Source organism: Homo sapiens, chromosome 18 (genome assembly GCF_000001405.40).
Source record: "Homo sapiens chromosome 18, GRCh38.p14 Primary Assembly".
Lineage (NCBI taxonomy): Eukaryota > Metazoa > Chordata > Mammalia > Primates > Hominidae > Homo > Homo sapiens.
Genome location: NC_000018.10, coordinates 54,574,403 through 54,599,868, shown reverse-complemented (window position 1 = coordinate 54,599,868; position 25,466 = coordinate 54,574,403). Strand labels below are relative to the sequence as shown.

General features: G+C 37.0%; 1 protein-coding gene and 1 pseudogene across 4 annotated transcripts; both read right to left on the bottom strand.

The window, feature by feature from the left end:
• Nucleotides 1-375: 375 nt before the first annotated feature.
• On the bottom strand, nucleotides 376-24,248 carry DYNAP (dynactin associated protein). 4 transcript variants are annotated; one of them, XM_011525923.4, is made up of 5 exons: nucleotides 24,137-24,248; nucleotides 12,003-12,110; nucleotides 8,530-8,654; nucleotides 4,766-4,930; nucleotides 376-2,056 (listed from the first exon to the last, which is right to left on the bottom strand). In XM_011525923.4, the coding sequence occupies exons 2-5, from the start codon at nucleotides 12,019-12,021 to the stop codon at nucleotides 1,724-1,726; spliced, it is 642 nt and encodes a 213-aa protein (XP_011524225.1). In that variant the 5' UTR covers nucleotides 12,022-12,110; nucleotides 24,137-24,248; the 3' UTR covers nucleotides 376-1,723. The 4 variants fall into 4 exon arrangements, with proteins under 4 accessions (XP_011524225.1, XP_016881198.1, NP_001294884.1 ...); XM_017025709.2 differs by lacking the exon at nucleotides 4,766-4,930 and having other exon boundaries at nucleotides 24,137-24,174; NM_001307955.1 differs by lacking the exons at nucleotides 4,766-4,930; nucleotides 24,137-24,248.
• DYNAPP3 (DYNAP pseuodgene 3) lies at nucleotides 21,250-21,339 on the bottom strand (annotated as a pseudogene).
• Nucleotides 24,249-25,466: the final 1,218 nt, after the last annotated feature.

Sequence of the window (25,466 nt, the reverse complement as noted above, 5' to 3'; positions counted from 1 at the left end):
TAATTCACATTCTCACCAACAGTGTACAAGGGTCCCTTATTCTCCACATCCTCAATAACATTTGTTATCTCTTTACTTTTTGATAATAGTCAAACTAACAGCTGTGAGGTGATATCTCATAGTGGTTTTAACTCTAAATTCCCTGATGGTTAGTGCTGTTAACCACATTTTCACATACCTGTTGGCCATTTGTATGTCCTCTTTGGGAAAATGTATATTCCAATCTTTAGCCCATTTTTAAATCAGGTTATTTGTTTTTTTGCTATTGAGTTATGTGAATGCCTGATATATTTTAGATATTAACCACTTATTAGATATATAATTTTCGAATATTTTCTCCTATTCTGCAGGCTGCCTTTTCATTTCATTCCCTTTGCTTTGCAGAAGCTTTTAATGTAGGCAATAATGTTATGTTAGCAAGAATTAGACTCACATATTGTACAATTTCAATTTTGGGGAAGAGCCAGTGTGGCGAGTAGTTGTAGGCTAGTATTACTGGTGATAACTAAAAGTTAACTTAATATAGAACAGGTTATTTTGATGACTGATGCTAGTTCTATCAAGTTTTAAGTGGTAATGGTGGCATTTGTAGTTGCAGGTTCGGATGTGTTGACAAAAAGAGTCAAACTCTGTAAAATATTTTAAGAGATTAATTCTGAGCCAAATATGAGTGACCATGGCTCATGACATAGCCCTCAGGAGGTCCTGAGAACATGTGTCCAAAGTGGCTAAGGTACAGTTTGGTTTTATATATTTTTAGGGAGACATGAGACATCAATCAAATACATTTAAGAAATACATTGGCTTGGTTCAGAAAGGCAGGACAACTCAAAGTTGGGGCTTCCAGGCTATAGGTAAATTTAAACATGTTCTGGTTGACAATTGGTTTAGTTTATCTGAAGACCTGAGATCCATGGAAAGGAATGTTCAGGTTAAGATAAAGGATTGTGGAGATCAAGTTTTATTGTGCAGAGGAATCTCTCAGAAAGCAGACTTCAGAGAGAGAGCAGGTTGTAAAGTGTTTCTTATTAGACCTAAAAGGGTGCCTGGCTCTTAGTTGATTATCTCCTGGATCTGGAAAGAAAGGAAGGAAAACAAAGGGGAAAGGATATTCTCTACAGAATGTGGAGTTTCTCCACAAGAGACTTTGCAGGACAATTTCAAGGTATGGCAAGGAAATATATTTTGGGGTAAAACATTTTGATTTTTTTCCCTTGTTATGCCAGAGTCAGATTAGAAAGTAAGTCACAATATACAGGGTTAAATAAAACCCATCTGATGAGAATTTATGGTTTGTAGGGCATGACTCCCCATACCCCTTAGAAAGGAATTTGGGCAAGATGAAAAATCAGAGCTTAGTCCTCAGATGAATAGGTGGAGATTATACATTGTTGGAAAAGAGTGATGAGCATTGTTACTGTAGGCTAAGTAGAAGTTACAGTAGTTATAGGTTAAGTGGAAGTGGTTGCAGATTCAGTTGAAGGGAATGTAGTTGTTGATTCAGTCAAAGAGATGGTCGAAGTGGTGATTATTTGAGTTGTCAAGTAAGTTTAAGTTGAAGTAGGACTTGATTTTGTTGAAGTTGTAACGGTTATAGAGTCTGTTAAAGTGACTGCAGCCATGATTCCACTTGAAGTGATAGGAGTAGCTATTATAGTTGCAAACTGAGTTGAAGTGGTAGAGGTTGAAGTTTCAGTTGAAGTGATGGCTATGGCTGTTCAAATTATAAATGATCGGTAGGTGCAACAGTTATAGGTTCTGTGGAAGTGGTGGCAGCTGTAGCTGTTGAAGTTGTAGATTCAGTGGCTGTACTTGCAGGTACAGTTGAAGTGGTGGTCATTGTAGGTGGACAAGCAGGAGAGGGTGTTCCAGGTTTGACAGTCACACACTCTCCATCATTTGTGGATAGCTGGATAACAATGGAGGAATTGGCCGATCCTTTGTTATTCACCAAGCATATTATAAGTACTCCAATTGCTGTCATTATCACACAGGCTAAGAGACAAGCCAGGAAGACTTTCCACATAGACCAGTCATTGCGGCAATATTCTTTTACCTAAGCATGTATATAAAAATATCAGCAATGAAAAACAAAAATGCTTGTAATTTATCATCTCTTTTATATTACTTATAACTTATTGGGTTAACATCATTTGAGTCACTATGTGTCTCTGAAAGATGGGCTTGAAGTCCATGTTTTCATGCAGGTGGAAATAATTGTCTGCTGTCCCTTACATTAGAAGAAAGACAAATTTGCAAAATCTCATCTTCTCTTATTCTATTTTCCATTTGTCTTTTTTCTTTTTAACAGACTTTATTTTCAGAGCAGTTTTAGGTTGACAGCAAAACTAAGCAGGAAATACAGAGATTTCCCACATCCCTCCTGCCCTCACACATGTTCAGCCTCACCAGTTGTCAACTTCTCCCATCAGAGTAGAACATTTGTTACAATTAATGAACCTACAATGATATACCATTATCAGATTACTTTAGGGTTCACTCTTGTTGGTGTACACTCTATGGGTTTGGACAACTATATGATGACATGTATTTACCATTACAGTATCATGCAGAGCAGTCTCACTACCCTAAAAAATCCTCTGTATTCCTCTTATTCTTTCCTCTCTCACCCCTACCTTTTTTTTAATGTGAGAACAACATCTCATATTGTTGTTGAGAAGATTAAAAATAACATTGATAAAGTCACTAGTTTTCAAAAGTATTATTTTTGTTTTGGATGCAGTATAATATAGAATTTAGAATTTAGAAACAAGGGCTTTGGAGTCCAACAGATTATTTCACTATTACCTGGATGAAAGCAAGATCTTCCAGGAATAGAATACAAAACTCATACCTTTCAGACAGAATACAGTAGGTCTGAAACATTACAAAATATGTGCCATGGTATTTGTTGGAAGACTAGAGTTTCATGAAAAGCCTGATGACACAAAGACAGCAGGGAATGAGGGCAATGGTCACCAAGGCCAGGGAAATGAGGGCCACTAAGATCAAGTTAGCCCTAGGACAAATAACGTCCTCTTTCCTTGATGGGAAGCACTGAAAAGGAGGTTCAAGAAAAGAAAGTGGCAAAAAGGCTTGTGTACATCTGGGAGAGGAGTCTATAATACTGCATCACACAAACTTAAAAAGAGCCCTTTAGTGGAATAAAATGCACATGATCAGACAAAAGGAAACTAAGTTCTCCTCCTGCTTTGGCCCCTTCTGGCAAAAACCGTATGAGTTCTAGCAACTCTCTAAACTTTCCTGAGCCATATTTTCCCTAATTGTTAAATGATTTAATGGGACTAGATCAGTCATTCTCATCACTAGTTGTACATTAGATTCATCTGGGTAGCTTTTAAAAACCATTGTTGTATGGGCCCCACCCCCCAGAGTTTCTGATTTAATTAGTCTGGGGTGGGGCTCAGGCACTTGATTTGGTCTTAAACAGTCCCCAGGTGATTCTAATATGCAGTCAAGTTTAAGAACCAGCAGAGGCTGGACATGGAGGTTCATGCTTGTAATCCTAGCATTTGGGGAGGCTGAAGCGGGTGGATCCCTTGAGCCCAGGAGGTTGAGACCAACCTGGGCTACATGGCAAGACCTCAACTCTACAAAAAATTAAAAAATTAGCCAGGCATGGTGGCATATGCATGTGGTCCTAGCTACTTAGCAGGCTGAGATGGGAGGATTGTTTAAGCCCAGAAGGTTGAAGCTGCAGTGAGACATGATTGTGCCACTGCACTCCAGCCTAGGTGACAAGAATGAGAACCTGCCTCAAAAAAACAAAAAAATAAAAAATAAAAATAAAAAAAAGAGCTAGCAGACTCAATGTTATTGAAGACCTCCTTCAATTCCATGATTGATATGGATTACTTTACCTCTGCAAACAAGAAGAAACATTTTCTAACTCCATCCTACTGAGCTTACTCTTTCACATTGTCCCAGAAACAGTATAAAGTTCATATTGTTTTGTCCAGAATCAAGAAACAAGCCTCAGAGGCTCTCTACTGAGTCTCTATAGCAAGACTAAGCAGCGAAAGGAAGGAATTCCAGAGTCTGGGGAATCAAACCAAACTGCCAAGCCATATTGGTAATTTATAGTCAATGTTAAATTTCTATACAAGGGCTGAAGACTTAAAGATACAGTCGTGAGGTAAAGTTCATTCAGCCTACAGGACATGAGGTCAGGAACCAAGGAGAGCTGAGTCTGGTCTCCAAAGCTAGTGGAGATGCTCCAGAGAACAGTAAGGTTTCTGTGTTAAGGTCGTATACACCAGAGGCCAGAACCCAGGGAGCTAAAGAAAGTGCCACACACAGGTTCGGAGGCTGCACAGAGTAAGAAAATAAGGTGATCGCCAAAAGAATAGGACCCATGAAACTTTAAATATGACAGTCTCCCATCAGAGTCTAATGGTGAATTAAACCCTAATATTGCCAACATTCTTATTCATCTGCCCCTCCCTAACCTTGCATTTGCACCTTACACTTATTCCTTTGATTTTCATGTATGTTCTCTATCTATTATAGATGTTTGAGTCCCCGATTAGAATGTTAGCTCTTGGAAAACAGAGACTAGCAAATATTTATTTTCTTGTGAATTGCCTCACAGTGACTTGTACCTATACTGAGAATACAGCAAATGCTTAATACAAATATAAATGAATTAAGTAATTAAGTACATTTCTTGGGAAAGAATAGGCAAAGTACATGCCCATATAGAGCACATCCCAACTTGAATAAAAGCTCCCGTGCTACACATTACCTGTGTGTTACAGGATTCTGACTGTAGACATCTTGAATGTGCAAGGATTCCTGGGTTCACGCAGACCCCAGTTAAGTTGGGAGAGACATCACTGGTTATATCATTTGAAGGTAGACACCAGCATATGGAACTGTGAGCCTCTTGGTCATTTGGATGTGTGATTGGCTACAAAGGCAGAGTGGAAGTGAGTAGGAAGCCTAGGAAACCATGGTGTTGAGTTGCTAAAATAAAATTCTTCTATCAAAAGTACCTAAGAGTATGACTTTTAAAAGGAATAAATGTTTTCTTATCCCCTGAAGATAAAAAAATCTAGACAGATTATTATATATTATACTTTAACTAATTTTGGTAGGCTACTAAAGTTCTAGTTCAGGAATGTGTATCCTCTTCCTCATGATATTACATAAATGGATCGAATATCCTTATGTTGCAAGCTGCTGTATGTGGAGCATATATTAAGAAGCCTCTATAAGGAAGAGGATGGTGAGCTGAAGTCCTTGCATCTTATTGGGTACAACCTGTTCAGGTCATTTTGGAAATGAAAATATTGAAGTGAAAAGAGTTGAAATGATTTGTCATCATGACACAACAGCTAGCACAGGAGCTCAGACCTTCCAGTGTTAAGGCCCATGTACTCCACTACACTATACTAGGAATAGTATATTCTTATGCTATGCCATACTATGCTAATACAGTAATGTAGTATATACTATACTACATGATACTAGTGAAAAATTCTTACACAAAGTGACTGCTTTACATAATTCATACCATGCTCTATCCAATGGAACTTGCAAGCCTATGGCAGTGACACAGAAGACAAATCATTTGTCGAATTTGCAGTATGTTTTTGCTGGGTTCCTCTTGGGCATAGAGCAATGTAAAAACAGTCCACAACAATACAGGTCTCCACTCTCAAGGAGTCTATTTGCTAACAGGGAGGCAAAACAGGTTAGTGTCTAATTAACAAATAAATGCAATAATTGTAAATTATTCAGAAAAAGAGGTAAATAAGGATTGAAAACAACTGAGTTGGCAGGGAAAGACTTTAGGGAAGGGGTGTGTTAAAAGAGGGGAAGGATAAGATAAAGTGAACATGAGAAAGGAGTAGATTCAGGAATTTATGGATCTTGTGGAAAAGTTTTTTGTTTTGTTCTGTTTTGTTTTGTTGAGATGGGATCTCTCTCTGTAACCCAGGCTGTAGTGAAGAGACACAGTCATGGTTCACTGAAACCTCGACCTCCCAAGGCTCAAGCAGTCCTCTCATCTCAGCCTTCTGAGTAGCCAATGACTATAGGCATATGCCTTCATGCTCATCTAATTATTTTTGATGTTATTTTTCATAGCGATGGGGTCTCCATATGTTGCTCAGGATGGTCTAGATCTCCTGGGCTCAAGCACTCCTCTGGCTCTGCCCTCCCAAGGTGCTGGCATTGTAAGTATGAGCTTCTGTACCCAGCCAAAAGTTTTGTTACATATCAAACATAATGTAGAATGATCTAAGGCTCTTCATCTCACAGGATGATAACGTTTACTTTCTAGCTGTGAATCAAGGTTATCTTTGGCCACTCCTATCAGCTTCAAAAGGAGAATACTAAAATTACCCACTTACAGATTTGCTCATATGATCACTGAGTAAATAACTGCCAAATGCTTGTAGCAATGTCTGGCACATAATACCCACTGAATATGTGTTAACTATCATTCTTGTTATTAGTAATAGTATTTTAATTACTACCGCTACTGCCACTAGTTGTCTTTGTGTTGATTTAATAACCCATTACTAATAGTTATAGAAATTACTGGCCAACCAACCAGTGAGTTCCATGAAAACTGTCAAACCAGAATGATACATAATCATTGACCCATTAGGAATTATTATTAAAAATACAAAAATATAAAATTGTCATTAAATATAGTTAAGATGGGATACTCCTGGCAGTGGACAATTAGCTAAGTTAATTTTTTCTGTAAATATAATATAAAAGAAATAGATATCAGTCCCATGTTTATCAAATATGAATAAACAAAATTCTACCTACTATTCATTATGCAAATTTGAATAAGTTGAATTTATCTTTGTTAATACCCTTGCTTATTTAACTAGGTGCTGATCCTGTTGTTTTCATTACATCCAATTTGCTTGTGGCTGATGAACCTGAACATTTTAATGCCTTTGCAAACAAAGTGAAACTCACTCAGTGGGGCAGTTTCCCAGAATTTTCTGGCCCTGTTAGAATCCCAGCCCTTTCAGAGAGGAAGGTGATGGGTGGGTCTACACTAAGGATGGGGAACCTGTGATCTAGGCCCAGTTTGCAGCCTAAGTAATAATTTTACTGTGTCAGGTTGCTCTGACTCTTACTACAGGTGGAGTCTCTATTCAAAACTGGAAGAGTTGAAGAGCTGTAAATAATGTTAACCAGCATTAGCATAATCAGCATTAGCTAATAATGGCCACAGGCAACTGAAATGCATTGGTTGTACTTAACTAAAGTACATTCGGTAAGTTTTTTACCCAAACTTTATAAGGATTAACTTGAGATTTCTTAGATCCCTAACAGAAAAACAAGGACACCAAAATTTATTTTCTGTGTGTTTATAATCTTCAAATACTTTTTAAATTCCATTATTGAATTTGGTTTGAAGAGAAAAATATAGTTATATCTATGCCTGAATAATATAATAAAGTAAAATATTTAGTCAGCTATCCAGATATATGCTGTAAAAAAAAACAATATAAGCTAATATTTGTAAACATCTTTACATTTGTTATTATCTAGAAAAACTATCAAGATGATACATACCTGACCAAGGATAATTTTTTTTTCCATCTGAGTATCTGAACATCTTGAAGATCCAATTACAGTGCTGCCTGAGCAACTGACCAAGCAGACTTCCAGACACCAGCCCAGGGAGTGAAGATCTTGGTTCTTTTGGTGAACCAGAAATCCTCTATAGGATTCTTGTATTAACACTTACTGAGAAACAGGACTTTCTTCTTTGGTTTATCTCATGAGTTACACAGGCTGATTACCACAGCTCCATATGACAAAAGCAAGCTATTTCTTCACACATGTTTCATTCATTCTGCTGGCAGTGAATTTTAACTCACTATTTTAATTCTCATTACATGTCCTTCCTTTTCTGAAGTCAAAGATTATTTGGTTGGATATAAATAGATACATAAAATCTGTATATGATACAGATATATGATTATGATAACTATACACTGAAGGCTTGGTTTTTGGTATAAAAATATTTTTTAAAAAGCAGACAAAATAGTCATATTTTGACACAGAGCAGGTATTTTTGGAAGTTTTCTTTCTTAGGAATATTAATATCTAGAATTAATATCTGGTTTTTCAGCATATTAAGAAATCTGAGTTCTGACAGGTCTAAAAATTCTAAGCATCCAATTGTAAAAACAGAACTTAATAAATAAACACTGACATCATTGGAGTTTATGTTTACATGAAGGTGAATATAGAAAGTTAAATGGATCTATTTGTATATCCTATGGCCATAGAAACATTTCTAATACTTTATAGCTATATATATTTAAATTAATACCTAAATATATAACATAGCAAAATAAAACATGAAAGTTACAGCACAAAAATTGATACAGGGTTGCTCTTTATTTTGGAGAAGAATGCAAAATTATGATGTTGGCTAGATAGTAATAAAGAGATTAAACTGCTTTTAAATGCTGAAAATGAAACTGTAATATAGGCAAACTATCAAAATGGAGCAAGGACACTCACCGGCTGGTTTTCAGAGTGCTCAACGTTCAATATGTATTTTCCATGCTTTCTGTCCATTCTTGAGCTGCCAGTATCACAAGCTTCTCTCCAAGAATATTTTTCAATTTGTTCATTGCCCTTTATATCTGCAACCATGAAACAATTAAAACACTGGTGGAAGTCAACTATGATGCATCAGTACAAGTGTGGATTAAACTAAATACTAATTATTCACTAAAACAGGATCCACCTTAGAGGAGGAAATGAAATGTTAACTGCAGAAAGACGCAAGAAAACCAGTACTTCCTCTGAAAGCTTTTGTGACTACTCCCTCTGAAAACCTTACATTATTGTTCCGTCTCTCCTCTTTAGTCCCATCATTCAGGAACTCACCTTTTATTTTAGGACCGACCCCAGAAAAACGTTCTGAGATAGAAATGTATCATTGCTTGCTTTCTACTCAAGCACAAAAGCCTCTCTCCCCTTGTTGGCACCACCTCTTAGGTACCCATGACCTTAGGGACACTTCACCTTTTCAGTCCCTGGGTTGGTGTCTGGAAGTCTCTTTGGTCAGTTGCTCAAGCAATTCACACTCATTAAAAACTATTAGAATCAATTTCCTAGGCAATAATGTCAAAGGAGTGATGGAATATTGAAAATCTTTAAGAAGAGGGTTTTTTTATTTTGGTCAAAAAATCTAGTTTGTCTTAAATTGTAAAATGATCAATTCTTGTATTGGTTTATTCACTCAACAAGTGAGAATACTGTTTCAAAAGTGTGCCAGGTATGTTTGTAGTGCAGAAAGTTCCATAATAAAAAAAAATTCCTATTCTCTTTGTATATGACACTTTTGGATTCTGAATATTTTTAAAGTTTAATCTTTGAAATTTCTCTTATAAATGTATTCAATACCTTCAGCTTGTAAGTTTTACCCTCAAGCTGTAGAATATAAAGAACATGGAAAGCTGTCAAGGAATTGAAAAACTGGGAAAAAAAATTGTTCTAAAGAGGAGTTTAAAATACGATGATTTGCTACAACACAGATGAACCTTGAGGACATTGTGCTAATTGAAATAAGTCATCACAAAAAAGACAAATACTGTAAATTTCACTTATATAACATACCTAGAATAGTCAAAATCATAGAGACAGAAAGTAGAATGTTGGTTGCCAGGGGCTGGGAGGAGGCGGAAATGGGGAGTTATTGTTTAATGAATACACAATTTCAGTTTGGGATGATAAAAAGAGATCTGGAAATGGGTGGCAGTGATGGTTGCAGAATATTGTGAATGTATTTAATACTCTTAACTGTATACTTAAAATGATTAAGATAATGAACTTTGTGTTATATGTATTTTACCACAATTTAAAAAGTGAAACACAAAGAAAAACATAAAGATTTACTCTTCTTGAAGCAAAGCAAACAGCCATGGGGTACAAGGGACCAACATGGGTTGAAGGTGTCAATAATATTAAAAATGACTTTTGAAAGACTTTTTGATTGATTTTTTGATTCATTTGAAAATCAGAAGAATATAATTAAACCAATAATATATATTAATTGTATATTTTTAAAATATTACTACAATTTTATTCTGCAAAAACATTTCATTTGGCAGTAGAGCCACATAGCCACAGTGGAAGTGAAACTCCATTACTATTGATGGCATCCACACATTACATCAATGGCATAAAGAGTGGAAGATTATTCTTGTCACTGGAGTCTCACCCTCACCATCTCTAACCGGCCAAGCAGTTACATGACTCAGCCACAAAATTTGGGAGAAAATTTTAAAATTTAAAATCAAAAGGAATAGTAACATAAAAATGAGACAACACATTGTTCTATAGCTAAATATACCATGTGAAAGTCAGATTTTTATTTTGCAAAGAATATTTCTTCACCATGTATTATGAACAATTCTTTGAATGCCTCAATCTAAACCTTAACAGAAAAAGCAGAGCACACCTGGATTGTTAGCATGACAGACAGCATGGATACCTCTCATTACCTTCTCAGAGTCGCCAATAAAGGATCTTTGTTCTGAGCAGGATTTATAACCAAAAAGAAATCTGAAAGTCTTGTTGGCTGACATGTGTTTGAGAGAACTCTGATAGCTGGCCATTTTTTCCACTCTAAGGCGGCAAGGGGAGGAGGCTGTTTTTCAGTCATCCAATAAAGAAGTGAATTGGCTGTTGTCTCAAAGCCTAGGTCAAAGTTGATTTTTTAAAATCATCTTACTCAAAAATTTTCTTACCTGAAATTTTGATATGCTCTGATTATTATTTCTTTGGTCTACTGATAAACTGAGAGCCAACATGACAGCTTCGGCCATGTGATCTTAGACATTTTAGGGAAAGGGATTATTATATTTCATCTTTTTTCAGACACAGAATTTCAAAGCCTAAGTAAAATGCTGACATGCAACCCAAAAAGCATGAAAGATCCTTGTGAAAAAAATAGAAACTGAACAATACATTTCCAAACTGCCCTGTCAAAATTACCAAAGAAATTTGAACCAATCATTAAAAGTAAGAATAAAAACTGAAACATTCTGTAAATTCATATATTTTTTTCACAACACAATTAGCATGTTCTTTATTGTATTTTTTACAAAGCTGAGCCAATACTTATACCAAGTATTCCTTTACTGAATCAAAAGTAATGAAACAGTATTTAAGCAATAAAATTGGATTAGAAAAATTAGTCCTATTCAAAATAGAAACTTCAGGAGGAAAACATGTTTTGATTTACATCACTGAATTTTCCAATTCCAAATGTAAAGTTTACTTATAAATTTTAAATATGGTTATACTGACAAAGCACAGTCTTCCATTAATTTATTCCCAACTGGAGGCCGGGCGCGGTGGCTCACACCTGTAATCCCAGCACTTTGGGAGGCTGAGGTGGGCAAATCACCTGAGGTCAGGAGTTCAAGATCAGCCTGGCCAACATAATGAAACCCTGTCTCTAAAAAAATACAAAAATTAGCCGGGCATGATGACGGATGCCTGTAATCTCAGCTACTCAGGAGGCTGGGGCAGAAGAATTGCTTGAACCCAGGAGGCAGAGGTTGCAGTGAGCCGAGATCTGCTATCACACTCCAGCTTGGGTGACAGAGCAAGACTCCGTCTCAAAAAAAAAAAAAAAAAATTATTCCCAACTGTTTATTGAGTGCCTAATGTATCACAGGCATGTCTGAAAACTGGATATCAAATTAGTAGCAACCAAGACAGACAAGACCTCTGCTTACAGTCTATTCTTTCTTTATCGAAAGCTTGACTTTTGATTTTAACTTTCAAATTTGTTTGAAGTGTTACTATTTTTGTTCAATCAAAGAGAATGTTCTCTTTTAGCTTTTTGTATGTTGGAATTAGAGAAAGGACCATAATGATAAATATAAATGATAAATATATAACAACTTCTACAGAATAAAAGGCAACTGTATAATTCACCTGTGTTTGAGCACAGCGACTAGGAATTCATGACTTACCTAGAAGTTGGTATTCCATTTTTGGGTGACTTTTGCTGTTTGAAAGTTCTTTCTCCTATAGATCCAAAATTTTCCTTGTCTCTCTGGCTGACTTACACCCTGATCCTCCTATATGGAGAGACCCAAAATAAACTATTTTTTCTTCAGAATATGGATATACAATCCCTGATACACAATTTCAGAAATCCAAAAGGCTTTGCAAACTGAAAATTAATTTGTATGTTTGGCATAAATTTATTTGGCAGTAAAAATTAATATAAACAAGAACATTTTGGGTCTTTAATAATCTTAGCATGGTTATTTATATGTTCAATTACAAAAAATATTAATGTGTGTTTCAGGCTACTAACACGTGTTGTGTAATATGCAATATATGTACCATATTTCATAAAATTTAAAAAAATTTGAATTATGAAACATATTTAACTCAAGCTTTTCACATGAGGTATGATGGGTTTGTAGAAACTTTACATTTTTTTTATAGCCAGGACCTCGCTGTGTTGCCCAGGCTGGACATGAACTCCTGGGCTCAAGCAACCCTCCCACCTCCGCATCCCAAGTAGCAGGAACTCCAGTTGTGCGCTATCACACTCATTTGTGTAAAATTTTACAATTTTTTAAAGACAGTTACGTCCCTCCTTATTCTCATCGTGCTGGAAAACTATTTCATAAAAGACTTGAAATAGTAAACTGACTCTCATGACTGCCATTTTAAAACTGTGAATGAGAAGAAAATATAGCTTCATCAATTGTGAAAAAATATACCATTCTGATGGGAAATGTTGATGATGGGGGAGGCTATGCATGTGGCAGGGACCATCAAAACATATTTTTCCTCTCTGTACCTTTTACTCAATTTTGATGTGAATCTAAAACTACTCTAAAAAATAAAGTATATTTGAAAAAAGAAGAAAAGAATAGCTTTAATTGCTGGATCACAGGAAAAGGTGCTACCCTTAGGCAATCTCTGACATAGATTTGATTTTACCATAGTATTACTGACATTATAGAAACGTTTATGTCCCTTCCAATTGGTGTACCACACTGCTCAAAGCTAATCTTTGTAATACCTACAAGAATTAAGTAGTAGTATCCCCACTTTTCTGATGACACATGTATGCTTTCAGTGACCTTTTACAAACTCAAGATTAGAGTGTGTGGCTCTCAAGATAACCATTCGTTTCTTGTCTGTGGCCATTTATTAGTGTCTAGTGTGTACCACACTGAGCCCTAAGAAGGATGGGGGGAAAAGGGAAAGACAACTCAGAGCTTGAATTCACTGTCAAGATCATACAACTTTGGCACCTTTAGAGATTCTGATGACATGTATCAAGATTCATCAGGGAGGTATGGATATTTACTGGAAGCATGGCCAGGGTGGTGCTGCCACCTGGAATTAGACCAGCCCATGAAAACAGAGATGGCTGGAATTCAGGTTTCTAAATAACACAGAATTTAGCAACTCCCAGGGTGGAGACATGTCTCATCATCCTTGCTGACCCTCCAAGTTCTGTCCAAGCATGAGACAAATGTTAGGACGTTCACAGAGTATGAGGATCGGCAATCAGCTGTGTGGGCCTTATTTTTGTGAACATCAAGGCCCCAGCTTTTGGAGCTGAGGTTTATCCATCAGTGGGACTACAGTTTTCAGGGATGAACACAAAAAGATTAAGGCAGGGATCCAGGCCTCATGAAAAAATTGTGGCAGATAGACTGCTTATTAGAATCAGAGCTCAGAATGAAACTCTCAGAAAATGTCAGGTTTAAAAGATGGGGCAAATAGAGAAACTGGGATTCATAAGGTCCAGAACCATAACTAGGTTATCAGATCTGGACCCGAGATTGGGGTCAACTCAACCTAGGAACGGAGTGGGGTGCAAGGGCTCAGCAGTGGAACATCATAGCCCTGTTCAGGGCTGCAGTAGCCAGGCTCGGTGTACAGTGGGCAGTGCAAACCAAGCAGTCTCAGAGTTCAAAGTTAGGACTTGGCTCCTTTCATCCACCTCACTGTGGATGGAGAATGGGGTGGTAAAAGACGAGAGCTCACGAAGCTGGAGCAGCTCATAGAACTCGTACCTGAGTCAGGTTTGGATATGGAACAATGATGGGAACTAAGGCAGGACTGAAGAAGGCTGTGATGAATTCAGCTCAGAGGAGCTGGTGAGGAGCAGCAGGTAGGCAGGATAGTGAGAGGAAGTGAGAATTAACCACTGGGACAGTGTTCAAAATATTAGGAAAGCAAAGGAAGTGATCTTTGAGGGATGAAGCTGGTGACAGTTTGGAAGAGGCAAGTTCACATCCAAATCTTAAAGGTCCTCAGTGCACATGGATGGACAGAGAGAAGGAAGGAGAAATTGTAGAAGAGAGAAGCAAAGACCACCATGAAGTGGTAGAAAGAGGCAAGGCACTGGGGGAAAGTAGGAAGAGTGGTCTGGAGGTAGAGTAAAAGCTAGAATGAAAATCGGTATTAACTAGATTACATAGGCAAAGAGGAAAGAAATGTCAGGATGTGAATTTTAAAATATGAATTGAAAAATGAACAATACAATAGTCTTTGGAGCAAGAAAATACATGAAAATTAGATGTAGAATAACTAGTTTTATGGCCTCAGTGTTAGTTAAAAAAAAAAGAAAATATTATAAATATCCCTAAATTAATTTAGATTTTAATACAATCTAGTCACACTGTTAACTGCCCTTTATGTCCCTTGTTGGGCATTGGATGTTGAAATAGAAATAAGGATTGCACCCTCACACCTGAGGAGGACCACATATGATGGTCCTCCCAGTTTCATGTTTGCCCCTCTTTGATTCATTCCTCTCAAGGTAGCCAGAATACTGTTTCCAAAATGTTAGCCTGTTTATATCACCATCCTGCTCAAAACCCCTAAATAGCATCCATTGCCCCAAGTCAAAGTCTTCTCACGGCCCACATGTCTCTGAACTTTCTGCCTGCCTCTGAATCCCCATCCTGCACTATTTTACACATCACATACCATGCCCCAGCCACACCATTTTTAAAAAATGCATTAAGAAATATTGCAACTACACAAAAAGGTATAAATAGCCACATTCCCATGGCTAAATAGCCACATTCCTATTGCCCAGTTTAAGTGATAACATTGTTTTACATGCAATGAGAGCTACTCTGTCCCTGGGCCTGAGCACAGTTCCCTCCTGCCCTTCTCTCTCTTCCTACCAGGTATCACAACTCTCCTTAATTGGTGTTTATATTTCCCATGGATGTTTTAATGTTTTAATATATTCCAAAAATATATAGTATAGTTTACATGGTTTAAAATTTCTATGAATCCTATTATACTGTATTTTTTCACAATGCAGGTGTGGAGTTGCCCAGATTATATTTATACAACTCAATTACATGGACACTTGTAACTCTATTTTATTCATTTTCACGTTTTATAGTATTTCATTCAATTATTAACCTATTGTCCTAATAATGGAAGTTGAGTTGGGTTCCCTTTTATTAGCATAATGAACAATGAGGCTATGAATACTCTAAAATATGTCTTGAATATGCATTCTTAGGCATATTTATTAAATATTTATATTAATTATTAATTAATATAAATATTAAATATTAAATAAATATTTGTTTTAAATATTTAATAAATATTTCTAAATGTATAATTAAAAGTGAAATTTCTGTATCATCAGGTGTGTATTTTGTTAACTTTACCATATATTTCCAATATTGTTTCCAAAGTTGTATGAATATTCACTCCCATAAAAATATTCCCATTTTTCATAAATACTTAGTATTGTCAAATTTTTAACCTTGCTCATGTGTATGGTGTAAAATATTCTGTTTTTTTTCACTTTTTCTTTCACCCTACTTATACGTAATTTGGAGTTGTTAGTCTTTCTTTTGTTTTTGAGTTGCACAACAGATGTTTGTCATGGTAATTTTTGTTTACTCTTTTTTCTGCCTTGTATGTAAATACTGGAAGGTATTATTATCTGTATTCCAAGCTATTTTCAGGTGATCGGTTCTCAGAAGGTGGGATTACACAGTCAAAAGGTATTTTATCACCCTTAATACAAACTGATTTCCAAACTGCTGAAAAATTTGTGATTTGCTAAAAATATTGACAGCACATGTTCAAACACATGATTAGCAGTGCTGAGTAAGATAATATTTAAATATAGTACTAATTAAGTAGGTAAAGAGTGTATAATTTTATTGTTATTTTATTTGTTATTATTGAGTTTAAGCATGTTATCATAACTCTGTCAATAATTGTAATGTATGGGCTTTTGCTCAGTAAACTATGAAGATGTAAGTGATTTTCTTCCTCTAGAAGATGAGGTAGACATTTGGATTGGCAGTTAACATTCATTCTTAGTTCCTTCTCTGTACTCCTGTTACACCAAGGGCTAAAATTCTGGAACTACGTTCCCAGAACACCTAGGCTCTGCCAATGAGATGTATTCCCATGAGATTTATAAACTCAAAGGGAAATGCCAGCCCTTCTTACCCCAGCAGTGGGGGCTCCTGACATACACAAGCTTCAACAGATAATAAATACGTAGCTTTTATGGTGACAGGCTGCACTCTACCCTTCAGTCTCTGGTTTGGGAGCTGCAGGAAAATGTGGCTTGGCAGGAGTTTTCTGCAGCCCTCTGACCACCCAGCAGGTCAGAGAAAACCTACAGATAGTCTTCCTTATTTTACTCCTGATGCTATATTCAGCATCTGATAACTATATTCCTTTCTGCTTACATTACCTAAACCGGTTTCTGTTTTCCTAAGGTGTGCCCAGAAAAAAAAGAGTGATTCCAAAAAATTGACCCTCAAAGATGAAGACTGTATATCTGTTATCTGACTTGGTATAGGATGATCAATGAAACGTGTATTAAAAAGCGTTGATGGTTGTTGAAGCTGGATAATAAGTACTTGTTTGTGAATTGGAAATTTTTGTAAAAACGTTAAAAAATATATAGGTCACTGCCAAAACAATGATTATGTCAGTAGGAAGATAAGACTCTGGAAAACATGAATAATGAAAGCTAGGGTAGCTTAAGAGTAAAATGAATGTGGTGGAAAATAAAAGATATATGAGGTCAAAGAAGAAATAGCTCAAAAGAGAGACAAGCAGTGCTTGGAGGAGGCAGGATTGATCCGAGTCCTGGAGTACAGATGGAATTCTAAGAGAGGAAGGAGAGGGACAACAGCATTTTTGAAGAACAGAACATGTGCCAAGTAGACGGGTTAGTATACGGTAGAGGCTCAAAGCCTTTTTTTGAATAAAGAGTAGATGATTAATAGACTGATTGGCTAATTATTTTATTGATTGGATGTGCCAGGGTCTGAAATATTCACTCAACCATTTATTAAACAAATACATATTGACCACTGACTAAGTGTAAGTCTGGGGGAAAGTTACTATTGTTATAAAATCTAAAATTGAATTTGTTTCCAGAATATTTTTATTTCTGACTTATAACAGAAATTACAAATTAGAAAACATATTTCTTTTTAAATAGAAAAATACAGTCACAAATGTCTGTATACAATAACACTACAGATGGAAAAGACTTGGATCATTTCTTTTTTTTTTGAGATGGAGTCTCACTCTGTTGCCCAGGCTGGAATGCAGTGATGCGATCTCCGCTCACTACAACCTCCACCTCCCGGGTTCACACCATTCTCCTGCCTCAGCCTCCTGAATAGCTGGGACTACAGGCACCTGCCACCACGCTTGGCTAATTTTTTGTATTTTTAGTAGAGACGGGGTTTCACTGTGTTAGCCAGGATGGTCTGGATCTCTTGACCTCGTGATCCTCCCGCCTCGGCTTACCAAAGTGCTGGGATTACAGGCGTGAGCCATCGCGCCCGGCCGGATCATTTCAATTGCATTTGTATTAGTAAGAAAGAAACAGCAATTTATACTAATAAAATATAAGTTAAAAGATTTCAGTACAACTTTAATCTTTTATTAAAATTGCTGGCAGAACTTTTTAAAAAATATTCTTGTGGAGCTAAGTGGAAGAACTGTTAAAAATTAATTCTTATTAGCTTAATAGATACTGAAATATATTTTTTCAATTTTTGCTTGAAAATAAGTTTTTCCTTTATCTAAGTGAAACATTTTTTCCCATGTGATTATATACCTGACAGTATTTATATATAATTCTTTCTTCATAGATTGGATTAAGATTAGTATTAATTGTTTCATGTTTCTCTTATCTTAAAAAATTGATTTTTTCTTTTCATGATTTAAAATAAGATTGTATAGTTTGTATCAACTTCACCAAACCCACCAGTAAGATATAGCATGTCAGAATGCTTTCGTTGGTTTACTGATTGGACCATGACTGTTAAACCTGCCTATGCATTAGAATCAGCTGTGAAGGTGTTTATAAACATACATTCCTGCCGCACTCCTGCTGGTTATAGTACAGTAGGCCTGGGGAAGACCCAAGCAATATCAAAATCAATTAAAACCTTGATATCCAGAAAATGTAAACAAAGCGTGTTCATGTTAATTATTTTAGTGATTATCTTGCATCGTTATTTCTTCTGCATCTCCTTCAGTATTTTGGGAGATAGACATATAGTAAATGTCTGACATTTAACTAAGTGACTATAAGGTTACATAAAGAATAGCAAATAATTAATTCTAACAACTGTGGTGCTAAACAGCAAAATAATCTGAAGAAAACTTATATAAACAAGATAATTTTACACATAAGGAAACAAAATGTGGTACTTAAAACATACATGGTATAGTGATTCAATACATAGAGAATTGTCATACTAAATGAAATATTCTGAACAGTAAGAAACTGCATTTCCACTGCTGAACCATTTAATTTTATAAAAACAAAAACAACATTGGTAATGAATACCAACCATGTTAATAAAGATTTCCTTGTGAGGTTTTATCAAATTACTTGGAGGGTGGTCCCTAGATTTTTTTTTCTAGGAAAATTACATGATCTGAAATTTTAGAAAAATTATTAAACTATTACAAAATAAAATAACAATTCTAATAAAATGGAGATCTGTTAAGTATAAAAGACAAATGAGGTGGATTTGATGTCATGGCGCTGGTGCTTGGAAATGGGCTAAATTGTTATTGTTGGCCATTGCTTCAGGCTCTGCTGAAGTATTTCTGTTAGCTAAACAAATCACCTGTGATAGCATTGTAGATTCAAATTTATCTTACGAGTAGCTATGGAAATAGTCAAAGATAACTTAATCAAAGTACTTAATGGTTTGGTTGCCTTATAGGAGGCCACCACATTGTAATTTCTGTGAGAATGGTGATGTTAGCACTTTCATTAGTAGATTCACTGGAAGGGAGGATAGAGGTTGTGCTGTCTCAGCTGATGTGCTGGTTTCTGTTGTTGGTGTACATTCAACTGAAATAGTGGTAGCTGTAAAAATTGAAGGCTCAGTTGAAGTGGTAGTTGCAGCTTAATTTGACACGATAATAGTGGCAGATTCAGTAGACATCGTGATAGCTACATTTTAGCTAAAGTGCTGGTAAGCAGAAGGTTCACTTGAAGTATTCATTGTAGACCATGACAGGTGGTGTCTTTCAGTGGTGAAAAAACAGTGCTGCTGAAGGAGTATTTTGTTATTTGTCACAAATGTTGCAGCCCAAGTCATAATTTTTACTGCCATTTTGCTCTGGCTCTGTTCTGACTGTCAATTTTAAAATTTGAATAGGTAGAGAGCTGAGGATAATGTTTAATCAGCTGGTCAAAAATAGTCAATAATATCATTCAGTGCAGCTGAAATGCATTTGGTATATTTACTGAAAAGTTATGAGGTAAGATGTACTATTTCTCCAAGAAGAAAGAAATACGTAACTTGCCTTTTTGAATCTAACTTTCAAGTGTTACTTTATTTCATTGGTCAAAATTGACCTCATTACATCAAAATATCCAGATGGAAGTAAAATTTTTAGAGTGCTGTATAGTACTGTTTTTATAGGATTTGAAATATATCTAAATTTACTACTAACCCAAGAAAAGGTCAACATGATCAATTAATGCCTTAGCAAAGGCAACTAATCTTTTATTTAACTGGAGTGCTTTCAAATAATGAAAATTCCATCAGAGAAGTGAGGATTCAGAAAGATCTGGAGACCATCTTTGAGGATCACATAAACTAAAACAAATAAGGGGGAAATCTCCTACTTTTGAGACAGAAATATTTTTCTTGATGTTCAACCATTCAACAAATATACTTATTGAGCAACATGACTTTCTGCTTTGGTATATCTCTTGGATGAAGAAAAATGCTTCTCCACTCACTTTCAAATTGTTCTTTAAACTGTCCATTTCAAACTACATATCCACATTTGTTTCTTTTATCAAGGCAAGAGTTTGGCTCCTGGGTATGGAAAACGTGATGCTGTCTATATATAAACCAGATTTTCTTGACTTATGTATTGGACTTGCAGAGCATATATAAGATTAATTTCTGGTTTTCAAAGATAACAGAATTATTTGAGTTTTGAAAGTTCTAGAATTAATTGCAAAGATCCAAGAATTCTATACCAAAACCCAGACACCAAACTTAAAAAATACTTTCTAAAGTAGCTGAAGCCAGCATTGCGTGGTTTTAACTGCATATTATTATTTTAACTCATTAAATTATATTCCAGAAAATACTAACATTTTAGTTTAATAAATACATAGAATACATTTTAAACTATTCCTTTAGTACTGTAGAGTAATACAACATTTCTGATTTTTAGAGAATAGTTGAGAAGTTAATAAACTGCCTTTTCTGGCCGGGCGCGGTGGCTCACACCTGTAATCCCAGCACTTTGGGAGGCCGAGGCGGGCGGACCATGAGGTCAGGAGATTGAGACCAACCTGGCTAGCATGGTGAAACCCTGTCTCTACTAAAAATACAAAAAATTAGCCGGGCATGGTGGTGGGCACCTGTAGTCCCAGCTGCTCAGGAGGCTGAGGCAGGAGAATGGCATGAACCCAGGAGGCGGAGGTTGCAGTGAGCCAAGATTGTGCCACTGCACTCCAGCCTGGATGACAAAGCAAGACTCTTGTCTCAAAAAAATAATAATAATAAAAATAAAAAATAAAATAAAAAAATTGCCTTTTCCTGAACCATTAAAATTATGCATTCTTTTTTGTGAAGACTGTGTAAGCATTACTTCTATTATATTAAAAGCCATAGAGTTTTCTCTTAAAACCAGGCGAAAGATTCACATAAACACAATATCCAAATGGAACAACAGTTACCCATGGGCTGGTTTCTAGAGGGGTCAATATTTACCATGTATTCCCCATGTTTCCTCTCCATTTTTGAGCTGCCAGTATCACAAGTTTAACTTCAAAACTAATTTGCCTTTTGATCAGTGATTGCTCTTTATATTTGAAACCTTGAGTAATATTTTAGTTGGCTGATGGCAAATTCACTATGATGCATCCATGCATGTGTTGATTAAATGAAACATTAAATATCAGAACTAACAGAAGACCCACCTTAACAGTCAGAAGTAAAATATTCATTAATTGCAATAAGTAACACGAAAACCAATCCTGCCCCTAAGAGCTATTGTTGCTTCTTTCTGAGCATCCTGTCTAGCAGAAGGAAACTGTGGTAATATGTAATATTTCCTTTCTTGCTCTTGCTATCATCCCATAGACATCATTCCTCTAAAGTTCAGGGCCAGTCCATGAGAGGATTCTGAAGTAGATGAAGTTTCCAGTTGCCTTCTTTCAAGCCTAGGATGACCATTCTCCCTCTCCAGGACTGATACCTCCTCTGAGGGAGGCATCCAGGGCTCCTGAGCAGCTTGCCTTGACTCAGTCTGTCCCGAATACTCTGAACTTTTCAGTCCCACAGTCCCAGTATTTAGCAAGATGAAATTCCCTTGGGTAACACTTTTTTTTTTTTTTTGAGGCTGAGTCTGGCTCTGTCACCCAGGCTGGAGTGCAGTGGCCTGATCTCGCCTGATCACTGCAACCTGCCGGGTTCAAGCGATTCTTCTGCCTCAGCCTCCCGAGTAGCTGGGACTACAGGCACCTGCCACCGTGCCCGGCTAATTTTTGTATTTTTAGTAGAGACCGGGTTTCACCATATTGGCCAGCTGGTCTCGAACTTCTGACTTTGTGATCTGCCCGCCTCGGCCTCCCAAAGTGCTGGGGTTACAGGCGTGATCCCTTGGGTAACACTTTCTTAGACTTCAACTCTGTTTTCTTTTCTTTTCTTTTGAGACAATAAGATACTGGTTTGTTTGTGTTTTTTTTTTTTTTTTTTTGAAACAAGATTTTACATTTTTTTTTTAGATAAGGTCTTACACTGTCCAGGCTGGAGTGTGGTGGTGCAATCACGGTTCACTGTAGCCTTGACCTCCCGGACATAAGCAACCCTCCCATCTCAGCTTCCCAAGTAGCTGGGACCACAGGCGTGTGCCACCATGCCCTGCTAATTTTTTTTTTAGAGACAGTGTCTCACTATGTTGCCCAGGCTAGTCTCAAACTCCTGGGCTCAAGTGGTCCTCTCACCTGGGTTTCTCAAACTGTTGAGATTATAGGTGTGAGCCACCACGCCTGGCATCCAACTCTGTTTTCTAGAGGGAGCTTAATAAATTAATAACTGTTGATTCATTTACCAAGTTTCTTCTCTCCTGCACAGTAATATATAAACCTAATCTTGGAGATTTTTAATGCACTTTTGGCAACTTAAAAGTGATAGTTAAAGGAGATTTAGGCAAGCATTTCTTTCAAGCTCTTCCATTTTGCCTTAGAGAAACCTTCTTTATTTCTCTTTTTAGAAATTTCTTTTTAAAATTAAGGCATTTGTAGGAGTTAAGAAATAAGTTAGCTACTACAAACATATACATCCAAAGATACTCTACATAAAGCTAGCACAAACAGTTTTTTGCCAAGAATGATATTAGAATATTTTAAAGTTTTCAAATAAATTGATCTGATGGGCTAAGTAATCAAAAGTAACACTATGCAAATAGAGGAATCAAGGCAAAGTAGTTTTGTCCTTTTTGTTTTTGTAGGTTTTTTTGGTGTTGTTGTTGTTGTTGTTGTTGTTGTTGTTGTTGTTGGGATAAGATCTCACTCTGTCACCAAGGCCAGAGTGCAGTGGTGCAATCATGTCTCACCGCAGCCTCGACTTCCTGGGCTCAAGCAATTCTCCTGCCTCAGCCTCCCGAATAGCTGACACCGCAGGTGTGCACCACCACTCTCAGCTCATTTTTTTTTATTGTTTTTGTAGAGATGAGGTCTCACTATGTTGCTCAGGCTGGTCTCGAACTCCTGGGCTCAAGCAATCCTCCCACCTCAGCCTTCCGAAGTGTTGAGATTACAGGTGCGAGCCACTGTGCTGGGTTAGTTTTGTTCTTTTTGGAAAATGCTTATGTCATTAGCACTCATTGCCTAGATACCCATAAAACTTAGGTCAAAATCACCCACTGACAGATGAAAATTAAAAGATTGACATTACCAAGTCTTGGTGAGATATGGATCCACTGAACCCTCATTATTACTGGTGAGAGTGGAAAATGATACAATTGCTTTGGTAAGCTGTTTGGCAGTTTCTATGAAGGCTCTGTATACATCTACCCTATGACCTAGCAATTCCACTCCTAGATATATCCCCAAGAGACTGAGTGTATATGTCCAAAACAGACATGCATAGAAATATTTAGACACCTTTATTTGTAACATTTATAATCCAAATACCCATAAATGATAAATAAATTTTGGTATACTGATACAAGGAAGTATGGCACAGTATTAAACAACAGGGACACACATATATAATTAAAAATCAGCTATTATTACAAGCAGCAACATGTTGCATGTTAATTCACTATGTTTACTGAGAGATATCAGACACGTATGATTTCAATATATGAAGTTCAAGAATGAACAAAAGTAATCAGATGATGAGAGAGATTAGAATATTTGTTTATTTCAGAGTGGGCTGGGAGAAGTTGATGGGGAAGAGACATGAGGAAATTGTTGAGGTACTGGAAATATTCTATATCTTGATGTGGGTGACGGGCACGTGTGTGTGCATGTGTGCGTGTGTGTGTGTGCATGTTATGTTAATGAACTTTATGAATGTTAGCCCTCAGTAAAAAATGAAAAATAAAGAAAGAGGCCAGGTACCTGCGATGGCTCATGACTATAATCCCAGTGCTTTGGAAGTCTGAGGTGGGAGGATTGCTTGAGGCCAGGAGTTCGAGATCAGCCTGGGCAACATCGTGAGACCCCCGTCTCTACAAAAAAAGAAAAAAGAAAGAACTAAAATGAACCATTAGCAGTGAATTTGAGATAAGGAACCCAAAGTCTAGGAAAGAAAAGTAGCACAATCTGTGTCCTGTGGATTCAGGTTGAGCGTGTCTCCCGTCAGTTAGTCTAGTGCCCCTCCCAAGTTACCTAGCACATGAGAGATCATGTAGAAATGTAAACATCACGGTAGATATCAATTACAGGTCTTTCGGAAAACAAAGAAAAGCAAAGATTAAAGTCTCAGTATTGGAAAACATCCCAGCTGGCAACTGCTCTTAGTGAAGATTTCTGCTTTCATCTCAGATTTAAGGAATTTGAGGTTGGCTCTGAGGGTGAGGTTTTGGGCCAGAAACAGATGATACTTATGTGCATAAAAACTGGAGAAAATCTCAAGTGGAAATGTTTATAATAGATGAAATGGACTCCTTGAACTATTTCAAGAAAAATGTTTTAATAAAGCTAATTTTTCTTAAACTTAGAAATAACTTTTTCCGGTTCCAAGATGGCCAAATAGGAACAGCTCCAGTCTATAGCTCCCAGCGTGAGTGACGCAGAAGACGGGTGATTTCTGCATTTCCAACTGAGCTTTGAAGAGAGTAATGGTTCTCCCAGCACGGAGTTTGAGATCTGAGAACGGACAGACTGCCTCCTCAAGTGGGTCCCTGACCCCCAAGTAGCCTAACTGGGAGGCACCCCCCAGTAGGGGCAGACTGACACCTCACACGGCCCAGTACCCCTCTGAGACGCAACCTCCAAAGGAACGATCAGACAGCAATATTTGCTGTTCAGCAATATTCACTGTTCTGCAGCCTCTGCTACTGATACCCAGGCAAACAGGGTCTGGAGTGGACCTCCAGCAAACTCCAACAGACCTGCAGCTGAGGGTCCTGACTGTTAGAAAGAAAACTAACAAACAGGAAGGACATCCACACCAAAACCCCATCTGTACGTCACCATCATCAAAGACCAAAGGTAGATAAAACCACAAAGATGGGGAAAAAACAGAGCAGAAAAACTGAAAATTCTAAAAATCAGAGTGCCTCTCCTCCTCCAAAGGAACGCAGCTCCTCACCAGCAACAGAACAAAGCTGGACGGAGAATGACTCTGACGAGTTGAGAGAAGAAGGCTTCAGACAATTAAACTTCTCCGAGCTAAAGGAGGAAGTACGAACCCATGGCAAAGAAGTTAAAAACCTTGAAAAAAGAT